We start from the raw sequence: 19474 nt of genomic DNA on the forward strand, positions 1-19474 counted from the left end.
TAGTGATAACCCCAGTGCTTGACACATACGGAGTAGACACAATAATATGGGTGAATGAATGAGTGAACAAAGCTGCAAACAGGGCAGGAGTAGTGCAACTTACACAGACTGAGTTGGGTTTAGGGTAGTACTGAACATAGAGTAGGTAGCTAATAGCTTCAAGAATGTTATGATTTAGTTGCTACGTAAACCAAACTGGAGTTGCTTAAATCTTTGGCTTGTGTCACTTTGTGCCTAGATTCTCCCTATTTGATGAGCTATCTAATAAATGGTGAGAAAAATTGCTTATGCATTGGTATGGATCTCCCGCCGACCACCTATAAGTCCTAGTTTTCTTCTTTTGCTATTGCCACTGCAAAGTAGAGTCACCACTTTGCACAAACTTTACAGAGAGGTAGTGACCAAAGCCACTCGTGCCTAGAGTCTCAAGTAGGTGAGAATCTCACCCTAAGTCTAGCGTAATGCTGTAATAACTTTGGGGCCTAACTTGACAATAAAGACATCATGTGACTTTACTTTTGTGTGTGTGTGCGTGCATGTTTGTGTGCATATGTTTAAGCCTGTACATATAAGTCTGTGTTCTTTGTGTAAAGGCCCATTCATTTACAGAAAAAAGAGCCTGCTCCAGATTTCCCCTCTGGAACTAGGAAATTTGTCCTTAATGAGACGAACACAGGTTATATATAAGACTGATATGCAGGAGGAATGGAGCACAGCAGCCTTCCTAGAAGCGCGTTACACATCATAGACTGTTAGGGGTGGGAGAAACCTTAAAATCAAGTGTTGGGTTTCCCAAACTGCAGTCATTTATCACATCAACCATTTTAAAATCTTTTTTTTTTTTTTTTCTGAGATGGAGTCTCACTCTGTCACCCAGGCTGGAGTGCAGTGGTGCCATCTCTGCTCACTGCAACCTCCGCCTCCTGGGTTCAAGCAATTCCCTGCCTCAGCCTCCCGAGCAGCTGGGATTACAGGTGCCCGCCACCATGCCCAGCTAATTTTTTGTATTTTTAGTAGAGACTGGGTTTCACCATCTTGGCCAGGCTGGTCTTGAACTCCTGACCTTGTGATCCACCTGCCTTGGCCTCCCAAAGTGCTGGGTTTACAGGTGTGAGCCACTGCGCTGGGTCCATTCACAATTCATCAGAAGTGATGGTCTGATGCATTGTTAAGGTCTTTCCAGCAATGCACATGAAAGTTCAGTATATAAAAATCCACCCTGACAATCCATTTCATCCGTGTCATTGATTCTTCTGGACAGCTTGGGAAAAAGGGACAATTTCTGCAGGTTTGAAACCTTCACAGCATGTGCAAGCACCGGGGTCTTGCCTTGCTTGTGTGTGATGTGATCATCATGGTACCACCCACTTTAGCCCTGCGGTAGCAATAATATCCAACAAATCATGGGGCTGATGATGGGCTACTTATGTATGTATTTTTATGTTTGGTAGAAAAATATTAAAGCATTTATCTTTGTTCCACCTTTTGTGTAATTTCCATAGTGGTACAAACACCATACTTTAGGAAACATTGATGTAGTCCAACTCTCTTATTTGAGGAGGAGAAATTAAAGGTCTGGAGAGGTGAAATCTCTTTGCCGAAAGTCATTCAAATATTTAATGGCAGAATGTTGGAGTTCCTGACTACCAGTGTGGTGTATTGCCCCCTAAATCACGCTCATTTAATCAGTTAATCTCTTAGGACAGGCATGAAACAAATGTTGGTGATCTCTTGGCAATGCTAGCCCCATGGTGAAATGGAGATCTGTGATTGGCTCTATTGTCAAGAACTCTTAAGAAATTAGAGTCTAGAAAAGACAGTTGTGCAAACAAAAACTTACTGAGCTAGAAGGGAGCCCAGGGTCATCCAGATCAATCCTGGGCTGAATCCTGCAAGGTCTAGGGATGGCCCCTGTGGGACCTCTTTGCAGGGCCAGAAGTCAAGGTACAAGAGGGAATTGGCAAGCAGGCAGGGTTGGGGGCCTCTTGCCCTCATTTCAGTCACAGCTGCACTGCTTTCATGTGTTCTATGTGTTATTTTCATGTAAAGTAGCATCGAAAATATTTTCAGGACTAATGTTGGAAATGCACTGTGCCTGTCCATTTTCATCTCATAAATAACATTGAGACTCCAAAGGTATCATGATTTTCTAATTAACAACAGAGATGACCTTCCTTTCCCAGAATTTCTATATCATAAAAAAGCAAGAGGCTAGAGTGTCCATGAACGTGGGCTTTGTGATTATGCAAATTTGAACCTGAATCCTAGCATGGCTCAAATGGAATTTTTCTTCAGTTAGGAATTTAATAATGCTTCTTTCTCCAAATTGGGCAAACTATTTCTCCAAGTATTTGGGGGGTACTTGATGCTGGAAGCGTCATTTGTGTTACCATAGGAAGTTAGGGAGAAGTGGCTTCCTTAGTTTACCCTACCCCAGACATGTCATTGGAGGAAGGGGGTAAAAAAGGGAAGGCTACATGAAGGAAGAGGGAGAACACAAAGGTGGCAGGGAACATGCCTAAAAGCCTTCCATGTGACTTCAGCTGCACTTCTGCAGAATTTTTTGGAAAGTAGAAAGGCGGTTGGCAGGGGAGGTGGGATGGGGAATAAAGAGTTATTGGTCAGTGGGTACGGCGGTTCAGTTTTGCAGGATGAAAAAGTCCTGAAGATGGGTCGCACAACAATGTGAATGCACTTAGCACTACTGAGCTGTACATTTAAAAATGGTTAAGACCGGGCGCGGTGGCTCACGCCTGTAATCCCAGCACTTTGGGAGGCCGAGGCGGGTGGATTACGAGGTCAGGAGATTGAGACCATCCTGGCTAACACGGTGAAACCCGTCTCTACTAAAAATACAAACAAACAAAAAAAAAATAGCCAGGCGTGGTGGCGGGTGCCTGTAGTCCCAGCTACTCCGGAGGCTGAGGCAGGGGAATGGCGTGAACCCGGGAGGCGGAGCTTGCGGTGAGCCGAGATCGCGCCACTGCACTCCAGCCTGGGCAAAAGAGCAAGACTGTGTCTCAAAAAAAAAAAAAAAAGGTTAAGATGTACATTTTATGTTTTGTGCATTTTGCTACAATTAAAGAAACAAGCCTCCAGGAGGCACAGTGAGTGTTTTTGTCATTCACACTTTAGAGCGGATTCATGGTTAGCTTGCTGTTCCCCAGTCCACTAGCAGAACTGAGGCGGATGGAAACTTTCGTGATAGAGCTTCTGACACAAAGTAGCCTGGTCCATTTGCTCAGTTATTCAACAAATATTTGAGTGCCTCCCTGGGGTCAGGCACTATAGTTAGTCCTAGCTATACTAGTGAAAACAAAGTATACGAAGATCCTGCCCTTGCAATCTGGGAGTGAGGGGTGGGGTGGGGTAAAGTCTCAGAAATAAAATAACTAAAGCTCTCAGCATATTACAAGATGATAAGTGTGGTGGAAAAATAAAGCATGAAGGAGGAAGATGGCGTGCCTCCAACGAGAAGGGGACATCTGGGCAGATTTGAGGGATCAGCCCCAGAAGATATGGAGAGGAAAAACATTCTAAGCAAGGGTAGAATAAGTGAGAAGACTGTGAGGTAGGTGAAGAATGGAAGATGAGGCCAGGAGAAGCAGGGGTGTGTTGTGGGGAGGAAGATTGAGGAAGGAAGGAAGGAAGGGAGAGAGTGAAAAGAAGGGTTTTTGCTTTTACTTGGAGCAAGATGGGAGCATTTGAGGGGTTTTGAGTTTGGAAGTGACATGATAGGACTTGAGATTTTCAGGATCATGGTGACGACTGCACTGAGAATGTACTGAATGGGAGTGAGGGCAAGGCAGAGAGATGAGCTTAGACAGGGTGCAGAGAAGGGCTGGCCGGTGGGACCCGGGGCTGTTCTGTGTTGATCTGTGCAAGGCAACAGGGGTAGGGTTTAGTTTTAGTGTGTCCACCTTTAATTCTCCAGGTGCCCTCTAACTCCCCTTCTGAAACCCTCTGTCTTCCCCCATCTTCTCCTGTAGCTGGAGGTTAAGTACATCCTTGAGGATGTCCCAGAGAGTTGATGGCTATGCCTTGGAATGGTCCTGATTCACAGCCCTTTGGCTTTAACTAGGTTTGTAGAAGCTCCTGTCCCAGGCATTCACCTCCCTCGGGATAAGAATCATCAGTCACCAGGGAGAAAATGGATATCTTGAAGCTGTGGGCTCTTAACTCCTTTAAAGCCGCAGGACAAATGATTTAACTGAACACTTGTCATGCAGGGAGGAACAGTAATCTTAGAAAAGGGAAGAAAAGTCTTCAAAATTCAGAATCTGGGGAAATTGCAGAGAAGGCAGCTTTATTCTTCTTGGGTGTGTGTCCATTGTGGAAGGAGTAGGGAGGCACAACCACAAATCTTGGATGGCCCTGGCATACCGAGGGCAGGTTTCCCTTGACAGCACTTTATTTCCAGAATTGTAACAAGGCCCAGTGTTGAAAAGGGGAAGAAAAGTGTGGCAGTCAACAATAATTATGGTCATCTGATAATCATCAGTTATGGATGTGGGGAAGGGAGAATTCTGAAATCCTTTAACTAACTAAAAGTAAAACATCACCTCTGTCTAGACCGGGATTTCTCAATTTCAGTAGTGTTGACATTTTGGGCCAGACAATTCTTTGTGGTGAGGGCTATTCTGTGCATTGTAGGATGTTATGCAGCATCCCTGGCCTCTGCATCCTGGATGCCAGCAGCACCTCCCCAGTAGTGACAACTAAAAATGTCCCCAGACATTGCCAAGTGTCCCCTGAGGAACAGAGTTGCCCCTGGCTGAGAACTGCTCACCTAGACTTAGGCAGGGGCATTGGGTGCAGTCAGGATTGTTTTACTTCATGTCCTCTCTGGCTGATGAAATCAATAGAGTTAACACTAATAGTGGTTTATTCTTGGTCACTGGGATAGCACGGCATGTGCTGTTCTATTTTGAGAGAACAATTTTCCTGTGTTTTATGTAATAAGGGCCTTGTGATGCATGGATTCTGGGCATCCCAACATATAAGTGTGCCTGTAAGGCAAAGAAACTAAAAACAAGGCACGCTCTGATTGCCAAGGAGGGGCCATGTTTTCTTTCGCGTCTCTCTCCTGGACCCATGCAATAATTAGTCAAAGTAAAATGAATATTAGCTCATGCTTAACTGCCTTTACCGCGCACTTGCCAGCGCTGACCCAGTAGTGCTAAACCAATTATTTTTTGAACTTTATGGCTTTAAATAATCCTTTGCTCTAAAATTCCCTATACCCCTCAGCTACTTAACCACAGGCCCCTCTGCCCTAAATCCTTTTCTTATACTTTGTAGCTTTTTAAGCAAGGAACCTCTTTAAGAAGACATAATCCCTTCTCTGTAGAAAACATGAAAGACCTTGAACAAATCAAGATTTCTCCATGGAGAATTCAGCTAATCCTGTGCTTAGCTCCTAACAAGGAAATCCATCTCTCCACCAAGCACGCCATTACCCGGACTAATGCCTGACTTGAATAACAAGCAAATTATTGTGCTTTTAATTGTACCCTGCTCGGTCACAAAGCACATCTGAGACAGGAATGTGCCGAGCTCTTCCAGGAGAAACAGGTCATGCTTCTAATCCTCCTTTTCTGTCGCCTTCCCCTCCCCCCTTTCAATCCTTTTTCTTCCCAGCGGCACACACAAAAAAAATTAAAAAAGACAGCTAAATTATGTTTAAAATGGAAGAGTCTAAAAGAAAAAAGGTGGTAAATACTGACTTGGGAGAGGATGAATTATCTAGTCTCTGCAGTGTGGCTCATTTGAGGACAATCAATGTTATCATAACCCCATTACTGCAGGGCAATCTTTGTTACCCTAAACCAGGCTTCCTCAACCTCAGCAGGATTGACATTTTGGGCTGAATAATTCTTTGCGGTGGGGGGACTTTCCCGGGCATTGGACAATATTTATTGGCCTCCCAAGTTGTGACAACCTAAAATGTACCAAGACATTTCCAAATGTCTCCGGGGAGGAGGCGGGGGGGGCAAAATCGCCCGTGGTAGAGAACTATTGACCGAATCCCACCCATACTGCGATGTATTTGTTCCCCCACTGCTATCCTTCCTGTTCACAAACCCCAGGCAAATCATGGTTCTCGTTGTAAACCAGGGAGAGACAAATGTGTTGTTTCTGTAAGTAGAATGAGTGGAAAGAAAAAAGACATGAAAGCATATGTTGTTAGGGGGTGGAGAATGAGCACCCCCTCAGCACCCAGTATTAGGATTTGGGGGGGCTCTGACTTCCATTGGGAAGTGGCTGTGCCCCTGGGTGTGAGCAAGCCAGCTTTTGAACGCCTGTATTTCACGCACTTCAGAAATAGGCTTGCTATGGTGAGACACGGGTGATGATGATGGAGAGGCTGCTGAGATAAAGGAGCCACTTGCCTGGAGGTACTGACACTCTCAGTCCTCTGTTTAGACTTGAGCGCGGGAGAACTGCCCCACCTCACTCAGACCATGCCAACAGTCCTGTTTTGGACCAGAAAATCAGTACCGAGGCGAGCTACCCAGAAAAGAGACGTTATGCAAGCCTTGAATTGCACTTTCATTACAGCTATTGAGGCAAACATTTCCTCGCTCCCGGAGATTGAAAGAATCCACCCTATTTTTAGTAACTTACTAGAAACATAATTGCTTGTCCTCACTGACCAGAAGAAAACGCAGGGAACGAACACGTTGCAGTTATCCCCGGTGTCCACTAGATGGCGGTGTACGTCTTCCTGAGAAGCCCGGCCTGGCTGCCGCTCGCAACAACTCCTTGGGTTAAGGAAGACAAGTGCCACTCGTCCTTTGGGAGACAGCCGGGTCCTCTCATTGTTGGCACAAACAGCTCCAAACAATTGCACTGACCACACAGCTCTAAGCCACATTCCAGGGCGCTGCCGTCTGCTCAGGAGTGAATGCTGGGAAAATGAACCAAGCTGCTAATTTGCTTGATTGGGGGAAAAATAAGATCTCCAGTAACAATGGGCGTAATTTATTTTTCCAACAAGAATAGGGGCAATGCCATTTCATCCCCCCTCCCAATTGCTACCATAAATGAAAGCAATCACCTAATTAGTCCTGAATTACTAACTGGCAGGGTAATGGATCTGCTGAAAATTAAGCTGAAGTGGAGAATTTGGAGAGGGGGATGTGATTTCGTGGGCAGGAGGGGTGGGAAGGGAAGGGAGGTGAAGGCGTGGAGCCCATTGTAGGGCCCTGGGCCCCTGCGGTCTGGGGGTTATGCTGGCCCTGACCCTAGGAGAACAAGGGGCTCAGTGAGTCTCTGGGCCATTCATTTTGTGCAGGAGAATGACTTTCTAAACCCTAAACCGAGGAAAAAGCATCTGCTGGGGAAGACATGCCCCTGAGTTCCTTTTAAAGTGTTACAGATGTAGATGAATTGGCTTAGGAAAGAGAACACAGCCCTGTGGGGCCTGGCCACCCCGCTGATGGGGCCGGACAGGCGGACCCCACAGGGAGACTCTTGAATGCCTTCTCTCCTGAAACACAATGAGGGAAATTACAGCAAATCTGAGACTGAGTTTGGATTTTAGTGCTTAAGAAATACCCAAAGGGAATGAAATAAATGCCTAGTTACAGATTTTGTGTTTTTGCATGCATCCTTAGTCTTCGCCCCTTCCTCAATGGAAATAATGAAGCATCCCCACACCCTGTGGCAGGCCCTCTCCTGGAGAAAAGCAGAACAATAGGAGAGTAGGTAAGGGCTGAGATCTTCCACACAAAGGCTCCACAAATTGAAGGACTAATTTATTTGTTCAGAGATGCCTTCTTGTTTTTTAGTTAGATATCACTTTAATTGAAATACTTTACTAATGCGATTTATCACAACTGTAAACTGTCAGTTTCCACAGCTGTTGCCTTTTTCAAGCAATCTGGCAAATGTGTGTGGGTAAAAACACAAAGAAGGTTGAGGAGGAGTGGGCTCAGGCTGTCTCTTCCCCACTCAGCTGGTCCACAGGCCCCTCACCTCCGCCAAAAACATATGCTCTTCTTCCTTAGAGGGACCCACTTCAATTCTAGCGCACATCTGTTGTCTTGGCTTCTAAACATCCATCCCCCCTCTCCTTGGAGGAGTACCTGGTTTTCTTTTGGGGACCTATCCTTTTCCCCATATCAGCCCATGTGGCTTAGATGAGGTGACCCTACTTTCCTGCTGTGGGGTGGGTGCGTATCCCAGCTCTGGCCTAAAGGTACCCTCTTCCGCCTCTCTTGGCTGTGTTGATTGGCTCTTAAGAGTTGCCAGAATTAGCAAAACATCAACAGCAAAAACAAACCAAAATACTCAGTTAAATTTCAGATAAGCAACTATGATTTTTTTTTACTACTATTATGTTTATTACTATTATTAATGTCTTTTGCATGGAGAATACTTATATTAAAAACAATGTATTGTTTATCTGAAATTCAAATTTAGAGAGGCATCCTGTATTTTATCTGGCAACGCCATTGGTTCCAAGAAAGGGACGTGACCAAAAGTGGTCAATTCATATTCAGCTCAGGACTTTTATTGGAGTTTTGGGGAAAGAAGTATTTAAAAAGAAATCTGTTGGGGTTGCTAAACTGGTAGGTTATGTGCTTACAACTGTTGGTGATGATCTTTGCTACTTTGTGGGAACAGCTGCCTGAAATGGGAGCCAAGGCCACAAAGATCAGACCTGTTTCATTGGAGCAGGTGGATCCAGCTGTTCCTGAAGCTGGCCCTGTGGTTGGTGGAGATCAGGGTCCCAATGGCCAGGTGGGATCACAATTTTCTACCTCTTGAGCCTGGAAAGTAGAAACATCAGCACCAGAATATGCCCACTGAGCACTGGCTTCTATTTAATCAAAAGAGTGGTAAATGGATATTGAGCAGCAAAAATAACTGATGTCCAGTACACCCTATATTGTTTTCTAATTGTTTTGTCACATGTAACATCAGCCCTTTTACGAGACAGCGTGGTTGTGAGAGGTGACAACGAGGGGCGGCCCTCGTTCGCTCTCAGCACCTCTTCGGCCTCGGCGTCCGCTCTGGCCATGCTCGAGGAGCCCTTCAGCCCGCCACTGCGCTGTGGGGGCCCCTCTCCGGGCTGGTCGAGGCCGGGAGCCAGCTCCCTCTGGTTGCGGGAAGGTGTGGAGGGAGAGGTGCGGGCGGGAACCGGGGCTGCGCGCGGTGCTAGCAGGCCAGCGCGAGTTCCGAGTGGGTGTGGGCTCTGTGGGCCCCGCACTGGGAGCGGCTGGCCGGCCGGCGCCACCGCCCCGGGGCAGTGAGAGGCTTAGCACCTGGGCCAGCAGCTGCGAGAGTGCGCCGGGTTCCCCAGCAGTGCCGGCCCACTGGTGCTGCGCTCAAATTCTCGCCAGCCCTCAGCTGCCTCCCCGCGGGGCAGGGCTTGGGACCTGCAGCCCCCATGCCCTAGCCTCCCCACCCCCAACGTGGGCTCCTGCGCAGCCTGAGCCTCCCCGAGGAGCGCCACCGCCTGCTCTGTGGCACCCAGTCCCATTGACTGCCCAAGGGCTGAGGAGTGCGGGTGCATGGCGTGGGACTGGCGGGCAGCTCTGTCGGCACCCCGATGCCAGATCCACTAGATGAAGCCAGCAGAGCTCCTGAGTCTAGTGGGGACTTGGAGAACCTTTATGTCTAGCTAAGGGATTGTAAATACACCAATCAGCACTCTGTGTCTAGCTCAAGGTTTGTAAATGCACCAATCAGCATTCCGTATCTAGCTAATCTGGTGGGGACTTGGAGAACTTTTGTGTCTAGCTCAGGGACTGTAAACGCACCACTCAGCACCCTGTCAAAACGGACCAATCAGCTCTCTGTAAAACAGACCGATCAGCTCTCTGTAAAATGGACCAATCAGCAGGATGTGGGTGGGACCAGATAAGGGAATAAAAGCAGGCTGCCTGAAGCAGCACTGGCAACCTGCTCGGGTTACCTTCCACCGTGTGGAAGCTTAGTTGTTTTGCTGTTTGCAATAAATGTTGCTGCTGCTCACTCTTTGGGTCCGCACTGTCTTTATGAGTTGTAACACTCACCATGAAGGTCTGCAGCTTCACTCCTGAGGCCAGCGACACCACGAACCCACCGGGAGGAATGAACAACTCCGGACGGGAGGAACGGAGAACTCCAGACGCGCTGCCTGAAGAGCTGTAACACTCACCGCGAAGGTCTGCAGCTTCATTCCTGAAGCCAGGGAGACCACAAATCCATCAGAAGAAAAAAAACGCTGAACATGTCCGAACATCAGAAGGAACAAACTCCAGACACGCCATCTTTAAGAACTGTAACACTCATTCACTGTGAGGGTCCCCGGCTTCATTCTTGAAGTCAGTGAGACCAAGAACCCACCAATTCCAGACACAGTTGGAATCAGGGTCTGCTATATTTGTGTTTGGAACTGGAGACCTGAACTTCAAATCTGCCTCTGGCTGAGTGGCTTTGTAGTCATGGTGACCTCTACAAACCTGAGATTCTCATTCTGAAAACTAAGGACAGGGGTACTTTTCTCTAGAGGCTGGGAGTGAGGAATCTGTGACAAAGTATGTAAGCACCTGTCACAGGGCCTGATATGGAGTAGGTGTCCCACAGAGGTCTTTCCCCGTCTGAGAGAGGATGTGCTTAACTTCATAACTTAAGGAGAGTGGTAATTAAAGTCTGAGGATATTGCTAGCACCATAGCGGCCCTATCATCGCCAGGCATCAGGTGACTGTGTATGCTGGATGGCTTTCATGCATTGTCGTGTACACCTTCTCATTTCATTTTGGCACAGAATCTCCTCTTTCTTTACATTGTTTTTCTTCTTATGCTGCTTTCAGGACGGGAGCTTTGCTTTGTGTTGATACACGCAGCGAATCCGTCAAAACTTGATTGTTGTATTTTCTGTGTCTCAGTGACATTTACCGAATTATTTGGTTATTTGAGACCAACAAACCATTTCTCTCCTACGTTAACATTAGTCGATTTGACTCAAAGGAATAAAGTGAAGGCAAGAGCACTATCTCACAGTGACAACGTTGTGCTCCATTTTACTGGGATTTTCCAGAGCTTAACGAGGTAGGTTTGGAACATCTAATCAGGGAAGAGGTTAGTCTGGAACTTGCCATTTAGAGTTGGAAGGAGTTGAAGTTTTGCCCCAGTGAGTCAGTGACAGGACTAGAATTCAGGCCTGGCCCACAAGCCCATGCGTCAGGCTGCCGGAGTCTCCGCCAAGCCTGCAGCACACACATCCTCTGGGACCTTTCAAAGATGTTTCAGTTGGTTGGGCTGCTTTGTTTTGAAGCTCTCAGGGATGGACGTTAAATGCAGATGAGTGTTGTCTCCAGTGGGGAGGAAAGCTGGCGAAGGGAAGAAGGTTCTCTGAGGTTCTCTCAGAACGTGCTGTGGGGCTGCAGTGTGGAGAGGGCTGAGATGAACTTTAGACAAATGTTCATGGGGGATATGTTTGTCCCCTCCTTGTGTGAAACAGCAAAGCTACCAATCCTCAGGGAATAAAGAGGTAAGAAACAGTCACCTTTCAAAGAGTTGGAAATGCAGTATCCTCCTCCTCATCTCTCCTGCCTCCCCTTCCCCCCGTCTTTATTTTTGTAGAAGGATTCATCAATTAAGGAGGTCTATTCTCTCTCACCACCACCTCTCCTCTTGCTCTGTTTGGCTCAGGCAGGGAAGGGGAGAAGCAGCACAGTCTAGTGAGAGGACACAAGCTCTTCAGAGTCCTGAATCAGTTTTCTAGCTATGCATCTGGGTAAGATTCTTAACCCATTTCCTTATCCGTAAGATGGGCACACATATGTCCATTTTCTGTCTTTTCTTTTTTTTTTTTTCTTTTTTTGAGATGGAGTCTCACTCTGTCACCCAGGCTGGAGTGCAGGGGTGTGATCTCGGCTTACTGCAACCTTTGCCACCCGAGTTCAAGTGATTCTCCTGCCTCAGCCTCCTGAGTAGCTGGGATTACGGGCACCTGCCACCACGCCTGGCGAAGTTTTTGTATTTTTATTAGAGACAGTTTCACCATCTTGGCCAGGCTGGCCTTCAACTTCTGACCTCATGATCCACCCGCCTCGGCCTCCCAAAGTGCTAGGATTATAGGCGTGAGCCACTGCGCCCGGTCACATGTCTACTTTCTAGGGCTCTGGTTGGGATTAAATTCATATATAATGATGAAATATGTTAATCTACCAGTATATAATAGTTGCTCAATAAATAGTAAGTTCATTATCATTGTCTCAGGAAGGCTACAGAGGGGTGGCATGAAAAATGTTAATGTGGAAGAGTGTTTAGATGCAGGTGATAGCAATGGCTGACGCTACAGCAATGACTGCATTAGTAGCAATACTTTAGGTTTAACTAATTTAAGCCTCCTCTTTACAGATGTGAAAACCAAGGCACAGAAAGATTAAGCGATTTGCCCAAGGCTACACAGCTTGTAGTACAGAGCCTGTGTGCAAATCATTGAGGCTCTTCAGTGTAAGCCATGTGCTCTAGGGGCAGCGTGACATGTGGCTGGCTGTGAAAGTCACCCTGGCAAGGCACATGTGGTATCAGAAAGAGGAAAGGAGAGTTGCTGGAAACAAAGGTATACTCTGGTCTTTGGACTGAGCCATTGCTTCAGTCTAATTAGAATCTATTAAGTGAGCTGAGGTCAGCTGCAGGTGACTGGCAGGTGGCGTGAAAGGCCACGAGAGGTGACTTTCAGAGGCTAGAAAAGGCTTGGCCTTGTGACTCGCTTTGGTAATGAAATGTGGATGGAAGTGCAATGTGTGCCACTTTTAGGAGTCTGTGAAAAGTTTTCCGTGATTGCTTTTCCTCTGCCTTTTGGATTATGGAAGCCTGTGTCAAGATTGTGCTGCTGTTAACGGTGGTCCAGAAGTGCCTACAATGGACAGAGCCATCTTGCAGACCCAAAATGTAAATGTAGCATGGAACCAAAAAATAACCTTTTTTTTTTTTTTTTTTTTTTTTTAAGGTAGAGTCTCACTCTGTCACCAGGCTGGAGTGCAGTGGTGCAATCTTGGCTCACTGCAACCTCTGTCTCCTGGGTTCAAGCGATTCTCCTGCCTCAATCTCCTGAGTAGCTGGGACTACAGGTGCACGCCACTACACCCAGCTAATTTTTGTATTTTTAGTAGAGACAGGGTTTCACCATGTTGGCAAGGATGGTCTGTATCTCTTGACCTCGTGATCTGCCCGCCTCTTTGTTGGTTTTTAGGCCATGGAGAGATGCAGTTTACTTGTTATTGCAGCACAGCCTTACTGGTCCTGCCTGATATGTTCCTTATGTAATGACATATCCCTGCTATCCAAAAGGAAGATCTAGCCCCAAGTTCTTGCTGTACCCTAATAAATAATACACACTTGTTCATTTCACATTTATATTATTGGGAAGGGCTGCTCAAGCATTCAAAAAAGACCTGCCTGATGGGGTGTAGTGGCTCACATCTATAATCCAAGCACTTTGGGAGGCCAAGGTGGGAGGATCGCTTGAACTCAGGAGTTTGAGACCAGCTTGGGCAACATAGTGAAACCCTGTCTCTACAAAAAATTTAAAAAAATTAACCAGGTGTAGTGGCTGGCAGCTATAGTCCCAGCTACTTGGGAGGCTGATGTGGGAGGATTGCTTTAGTCCAGGAGTTTGAGGTGGCAGTGAGCCATGATCACATCACTCCCCTATTGCCTGTGCCACAGAGCCCTGTCTCTTCAAAAGAAAGAAAAAGCCCTGCCTGAGGGCAACTTTCTGTTTCTACCTAGAAATTTCTCTTCTTAAGCAATTTTGATACATCTTACTACTTTCCCACACTTTCAACTTTGTGAGAAAGTATATAATGTATTTCCTGAGTTTGTAAAGAACTTCAAGAGGTGATAGTTGTGCTAAATCTTAAAACATATAAAAAATTGGCTGAGTGGATTAATATTCTGTTGCCACTGCAATGATGTAGCTTTTTCATTTTATTGAGAGAAGATAAATACACTCATCAAACATCTCCTGGAGGATAATTATCATTGTCTTATGGATTTTTTTTCTATTGTCTTTTGCTTTCTGTCTTTTTTTTTTTTTTTTTTTGAGACAGGGTCTTGCACTGTTGCTCAGGCTGGAGTGCAGTGGCATGATCATAGCTCACTGTAACTATGACTTCGCCTGGGCTCAAGAGATCCTCCCACCTCAGCCTCTGGAGTAGCTGGGACCACAGGCATGTACCACCATGCCTGGCTAACTTTTACAATTATTTGTAGAGACAGGGTGTATTACTCCGTTCTCACACTGCTATAAGAACATACCCAAGACAGGGTAATTATAAAGGAAAGGGGTTTGGTTGACTCACAGTTCAGCATGGCTGAGGAGGCCTCAGGAAACTTAAAATTATGGTGGAAGGGGAAGCAAACACATCCTTCTTCACAGGGCGGCAGGAAGGAGAAGAATGAGAGCTGAGCAAGGGGGGAAGCCCCCTTATAAAACCATCAGATCTCGTGAGAACTTACTATCACAAGAATAGCATGGGGGAAACTGCTCCCATGATTCAATTACCTCCCACTGGGTCCCTCCCACCACATGTGGGGATCATGAGTACTACCATTCAATATGAGATTTGGGAGGGGACACAGCCAAACCATATCACAGAGTCTCACTATGTTGCCCAGGCTGGTCTCAAACTCCTGGGCTCAAGCGCTTCTCCCACCTTGGCCTCCCAAAATGCTGGATTATAGGCATGAACCTCCATGCCTGGTGTCTTTTGCTCTCTCAAGTAAAAGTACTGTCCCATTTGTTAATGAGTTTAATGTGTTCAGCAGTAAAGAGTGCTAAATCTCATCTCATCTTAGGACACCGATTTTATAGAGAAGGGATCCACAGTAGGGGCTGGCGAACTATGGTCTGTGGACCAAATCTGGCTCACCACCAACTTTTTGAAGTTCAAGTTTCATTTGAACACAGCCACGCCGTTCATTTATGTATTGTCTATGGCTGCTTTGTGCTACAATGACAGCACTGAGTATTCGTAGTAGAGATAGCGTGACCCACAAAGCCTCCACTATTTACTATCTGGCTCCTTAAGAAAAAGCTTACTGACTCCTCACGTAGAGCAGAGAGTGGCCAAGACCTTGTCCAACGTCACAAAATATTCCTAAGTGGCAATGTTGTGTCTTACAATTCTTCATTTTTTGGGGGTGATTTTTGTTTTCTTTTTGCTCACCATTGCCTTCCTTATTCCAATTATTGTAAAGGAGGCCACACCCACCCCAATCCCAGCAGAGAAGTAGACTTTGAGTAAAACTTCCACACCATAAAAATAAAGGTGAGCTACAGTATTGGCAAGGCATGGGAAAGCTGGAAGCTCCAGGGAATACGGGAATGTAATAATCATGTGAGTGAAGAATATATATCTCATCCCCTAGGTTTCTTAGGTGCAAATGATAACTTTTGAGCATTGACAACACAGGGTCGTCATGGTTTTGCGATTTTGAATTGTGGGGTATTCATTTTCTATGGTTTTGCGATTTTGAATTGTGGGGTATTCATTTTCTATCTTTTACTCTGGGGTACAATTAGCCCCATTTCATAGAAAAAAATCCCAGCTCTTCGTTTATAGAACTTCCCCCCATTTCTCAAGAAGCTCAAGGTCATCAGAAAATTAGAGATTTTAAGCTTTACAAATACCTACAATGAAACCATACACATTCACAGCTGAAGGTTAAGACATCAAACCTCAGGAGGTATCCTGGGTTTTGAAAGTGACATGTGCCTTCCAGATCTGCTTGCATTTTTTTTTCCCAGAAGCATATTGGGGGATTTAATTCCAGCATATTTTATAGGTGCTTGCACAGCCAGAGATTGCTTTATTTCATTGCATAAATAACAAAGATCTTCTGTACATTCCTTTATTTCTCCCTTTGAGCTACAAGAATTGCAGCAGGCCTAAGATTCGCACACATATACTTGACATAAATGTGTATCGAAGATGGGGGAATAATAAGGACTAGCTTTTATAGACCTCTCTCATTAAAACTCACCTTCAAAAAACACTCCTGCTCTTTCCTTATAATCAAATGACACCTCATAACCAGCTAACCATTTTTAATATTCCTCAGACTCTACTGAACTATGCTGGAGCTCAGACACTGTCTAGCTAGTCAGGGAGAAGAGTCTACCATCATATTTAAAAGCAGTTATTGGGACAGGTTTTACAGGCAGTGGGCTAGGACAATTCAGAAACAATTGCTTATGTGATAGTTGGAGGATTTGTCCCTGTCAAACAGTTAATATTGCTTTAATACATGAAGTAGGCTGTATAAGACGGCAATAATGAAAAATGTCAGGAAAGACAATATCAATTGTTATTCAACATCCACATCAAAGATTACTTTTTTGTCAGTAGCTTTCAGAAAATGTATTTTCCATCAGATCTGATTGCGTTCCTCTTTGAAGTGCTCCATCCTCCCGGTAGATTTAATGTGACATCTAGGCACTTTTAGTCCCTGGGCCTCTGAGGCGATTCAGAGAGGCACAACAAGCCATCACAGGTTTATCCTCAAAGGCCGACACTGTCTGTCTGATTTATTGTAACTTTAAGAATCATCTCCAGCAAAGCATGAGCCTTGCTACCCATCCACAGTGCCAGACTTTTATCAGTTCATTTGTATGCAGCCGGTACCGCTTGCAACCTAGAGCCCTATAGCCACTCATGGAAAATGCATTACCTGCGACTAATCCTTTTTATCTTTAAAGTCTGTATTTTTTATGTATAAGTCACTTTGGGTTATCATAAAATATACATAATTCTCCCCCCCCTTAAAAAAAGACAAAATGGAAAGAGAATATGTAATAAGTTATGAGCGTGTGGTGTCCTTATCAGCAAGGATTCTAAATAAACAGCTCTCTTTATGGAAACATCGAGGGATATAAAGCTGTGATTACTTTCAATGGGAAATAGGAATGTTCCCAGTGTTTTGTTTCTTTTAGGTTTCAAAGTGAAACAGTAAGATTAATCATCGGAAATATGCCTGTGTGTGCTTCCACTTGCCAGTGTGTTCGCTTGGGGGTGGGGGCTGGGGGTGCCGGGAGAGTAAGCGGGGCGGGGGTAGAGGCTAATGGTTGTCTGGTCCATTTCACAGGTTTCCCAAATTGCTTCACTCCACAAACGTTTTCCAAGCCATTTGTGAATGGCCTTAATTAAGAAGACTGGAAATGTGTCTCCTGTCTCCTTCACAGGCCCCACCCCAATGCCGTTCTGGGGTCCGAACCTTAGGGGCTATTGAAATGCCTGTCCCCAATATCGTAAGTGCTGTTTGCCGTTTTGTGTTGCTCTGTGATTGTTTCAGATATTCAAACTCCGCTAGGTTTTGAATCTTTACAAGCACGGGAAATTCTCTTCTACTTTAAACAAAATATAGGAGGTCATGCCCCGATCGGGGGCCAGCAAACCTGCCCACAGACCAAATCCTGCCAGGGCCTGTTTTTGTTCGTGAAGGTTTATTGGAGCCCAGACAATTTGTTGAAATAGTGTCTGTGGCTGCTTCCACACCACAGCAGCGGAGTTCGTGGCTGCCATAGACTATGGTCCACAAAGCCAAAAATATTTACTATCAGGCCCTTTACAGAAACATTTTTTGACCCCTGCCCTGGAACCATATGTAGAATTTTAAATTAATTAAGCTGATTAACCCAATGTACAATGTACTTGACCTAGGGGTAAAAAAGTTCTTTTGGGGATAGAGGAAATGGTCTGGAAAGATGTACCACAAACTGTTGACAAAAACTTCTAAGTGGGAATTGAGTTGAGAATTGAAGAGAAGCTTTTTACTGTTTTATACTTCTGGTGTTTATGAAATAATATGGCAGACGTTTTTAGAATTTGTTTTGTTTTCAGGGATGCTGTCCTCCCTTGGGCTAGGCCCTACTCTCTGCTACAATGGGACAACAGTTTTCGGGACGTTGAGAGAGAGTACCAATCACTAGGGTTTTACTGTCCCTTTGTTTTTTAAAAACCCAGGCTGGGTGCGGTGGCTCACGCTTGTAATCCCAGCACTTTGTGAGGCTGAGGTGGGTGGACGGCTTGAGGCCAGGAGTTTGAGACCGGCCTGATCAACATGGTGAAACCCCGTTGCTAATAAAAATACAAAAAAATTAGCCAGGCATGGTGGCGTGTACCTGTAATCCCAGCTACTAGCGAGGCTGAGGCACAAGAATAGCTTGAACCTGGGAGGCAGAGGTTGCAGTGAGCCAGGATCACACCACAGCATTCCAGCCTGGGGGACAGAGTAAAACTCCGTCTTAAAAAAACAACACCACACACAAAAAAACAAAAAAAACCCAGTGCTCAGCCATATTAAGATATTATCTGCATTGCTTTGAGCCCTCAGCCTAGGGTAGGGCTTCCTTATTGTCTAAACAATGCTGGACCCCCAAACTGGCATGCTTTAAAGGTGGGAGAGGCAGACCAAGGGGGTGTGCTTGCAAGCCACAGCCAAGCTCTGGGGGGCTTGTGGGGAGATTGCAAAAAAAGAGGGTAGGTGGTCACTGGGGCAGAAATTGTGAGCATACCTCCCACTACTTTTAGGAGTCTGGGGGATCCATTTCTTTCTTCTTTAATTGAAACAAAAGCAAAGAAGTGTGATCTTTAGGTGAAAAGGAATTTTGAACTAGAAAATCTGCAGTCATTACATGCCCCCTCCTTTATTTTTACATGCAAATCATCTTTGGGGAAAGGATCTCAGGGATCTTGTTGGAACTTGCTTGAAAACAATAGGCTGAGTCTATTAGCACCCTGTTCTTCACAAGAAAAGAAAAAGAATCATTTTGAAGTAGTGTCAGAAGATGTTAAGATTTTATGAGGGCTTCGCATAACACTCGTCTGTATCACTTTCCAATGGAAAAAAATCAGATTTATTCTCACAGATGTTGCTGACACGTTAGCATCTTAGAAAATCATTTTGCAACAACCCATCTAAACTCCTCACTCAGTACAATGTGGAAACTCACTTGGCCTTTTCTTTTCCTCTCCCTGTAGCCACACCATGCCTCCTGACATTTCCTGCACCTGGTATATGTTTATGCCGGGCCTTTGTTTGTGGAACATTCCTACCTGGAACATTCTCCATCCTCTGCTTCCTCTCAGGCCTTGTTCACCTAGAAACTCCAACTCACCTTTCATGGCCTAGTACACTTGTCCCTTCTTCTGTGATGTTCTCCATGATTTCTCCCCCATTCTTGCCCACAGCTTCCCTGCAGTTGCCCCCAGCATTTGGATAGGCTCTATCATAGAATTTCTCGAATCATGTGCCCATTGTACTTACATTAGCTCCTTGAGGGTGGGCACTGTGGCTTATCTGACCCCTGTATTCCCTGTAGTTTGGGCAGTGATTTGCAGAAATAGGCATTTAATAAACACTTGCCAAAAAAAAAAAAAAGCAGGACTAAGATTTTAGAGCAAAAAGAAAGGTTTGAGAATGTCTCATCTAAGCCCCCTATTTTGTAGGTAAAGCCTGAGGCATAAA

At 45.5% G+C, this 19474-nt stretch overlaps 1 long non-coding RNA gene across 1 annotated transcript in view, besides 1 other annotated feature; it reads left to right on the forward strand.

The window, feature by feature from the left end:
• LOC107987083 (uncharacterized) overlaps positions 1-19474 on the forward strand; it is a 122361-nt gene that overhangs the window by 75338 nt on the left and 27549 nt on the right. The window contains exon 3 of the long non-coding RNA XR_001746759.2: positions 17093-17255. This is a non-coding gene — a long non-coding RNA (uncharacterized LOC107987083). The remainder of the gene's footprint in view (positions 1-17092; positions 17256-19474) is intronic.
• Positions 4346-7962: an enhancer, noted in NCBI's record as "VISTA enhancer hs1585". NCBI's record gives its function as "enhancer in: neural tube[3/4] | hindbrain (rhombencephalon)[3/4] | midbrain (mesencephalon)[3/4] | dorsal root ganglion[3/4] | forebrain[3/4] | eye[3/4] | cranial nerve[3/4] | nose[3/4]" and the evidence as "EXISTENCE:transgenic organism evidence [ECO:0001131][PMID:17130149]".

The sequence above is a fragment of the Homo sapiens genome, chromosome 9 (assembly GCF_000001405.40).
Source record: "Homo sapiens chromosome 9, GRCh38.p14 Primary Assembly".
NCBI lineage: Eukaryota > Metazoa > Chordata > Mammalia > Primates > Hominidae > Homo > Homo sapiens.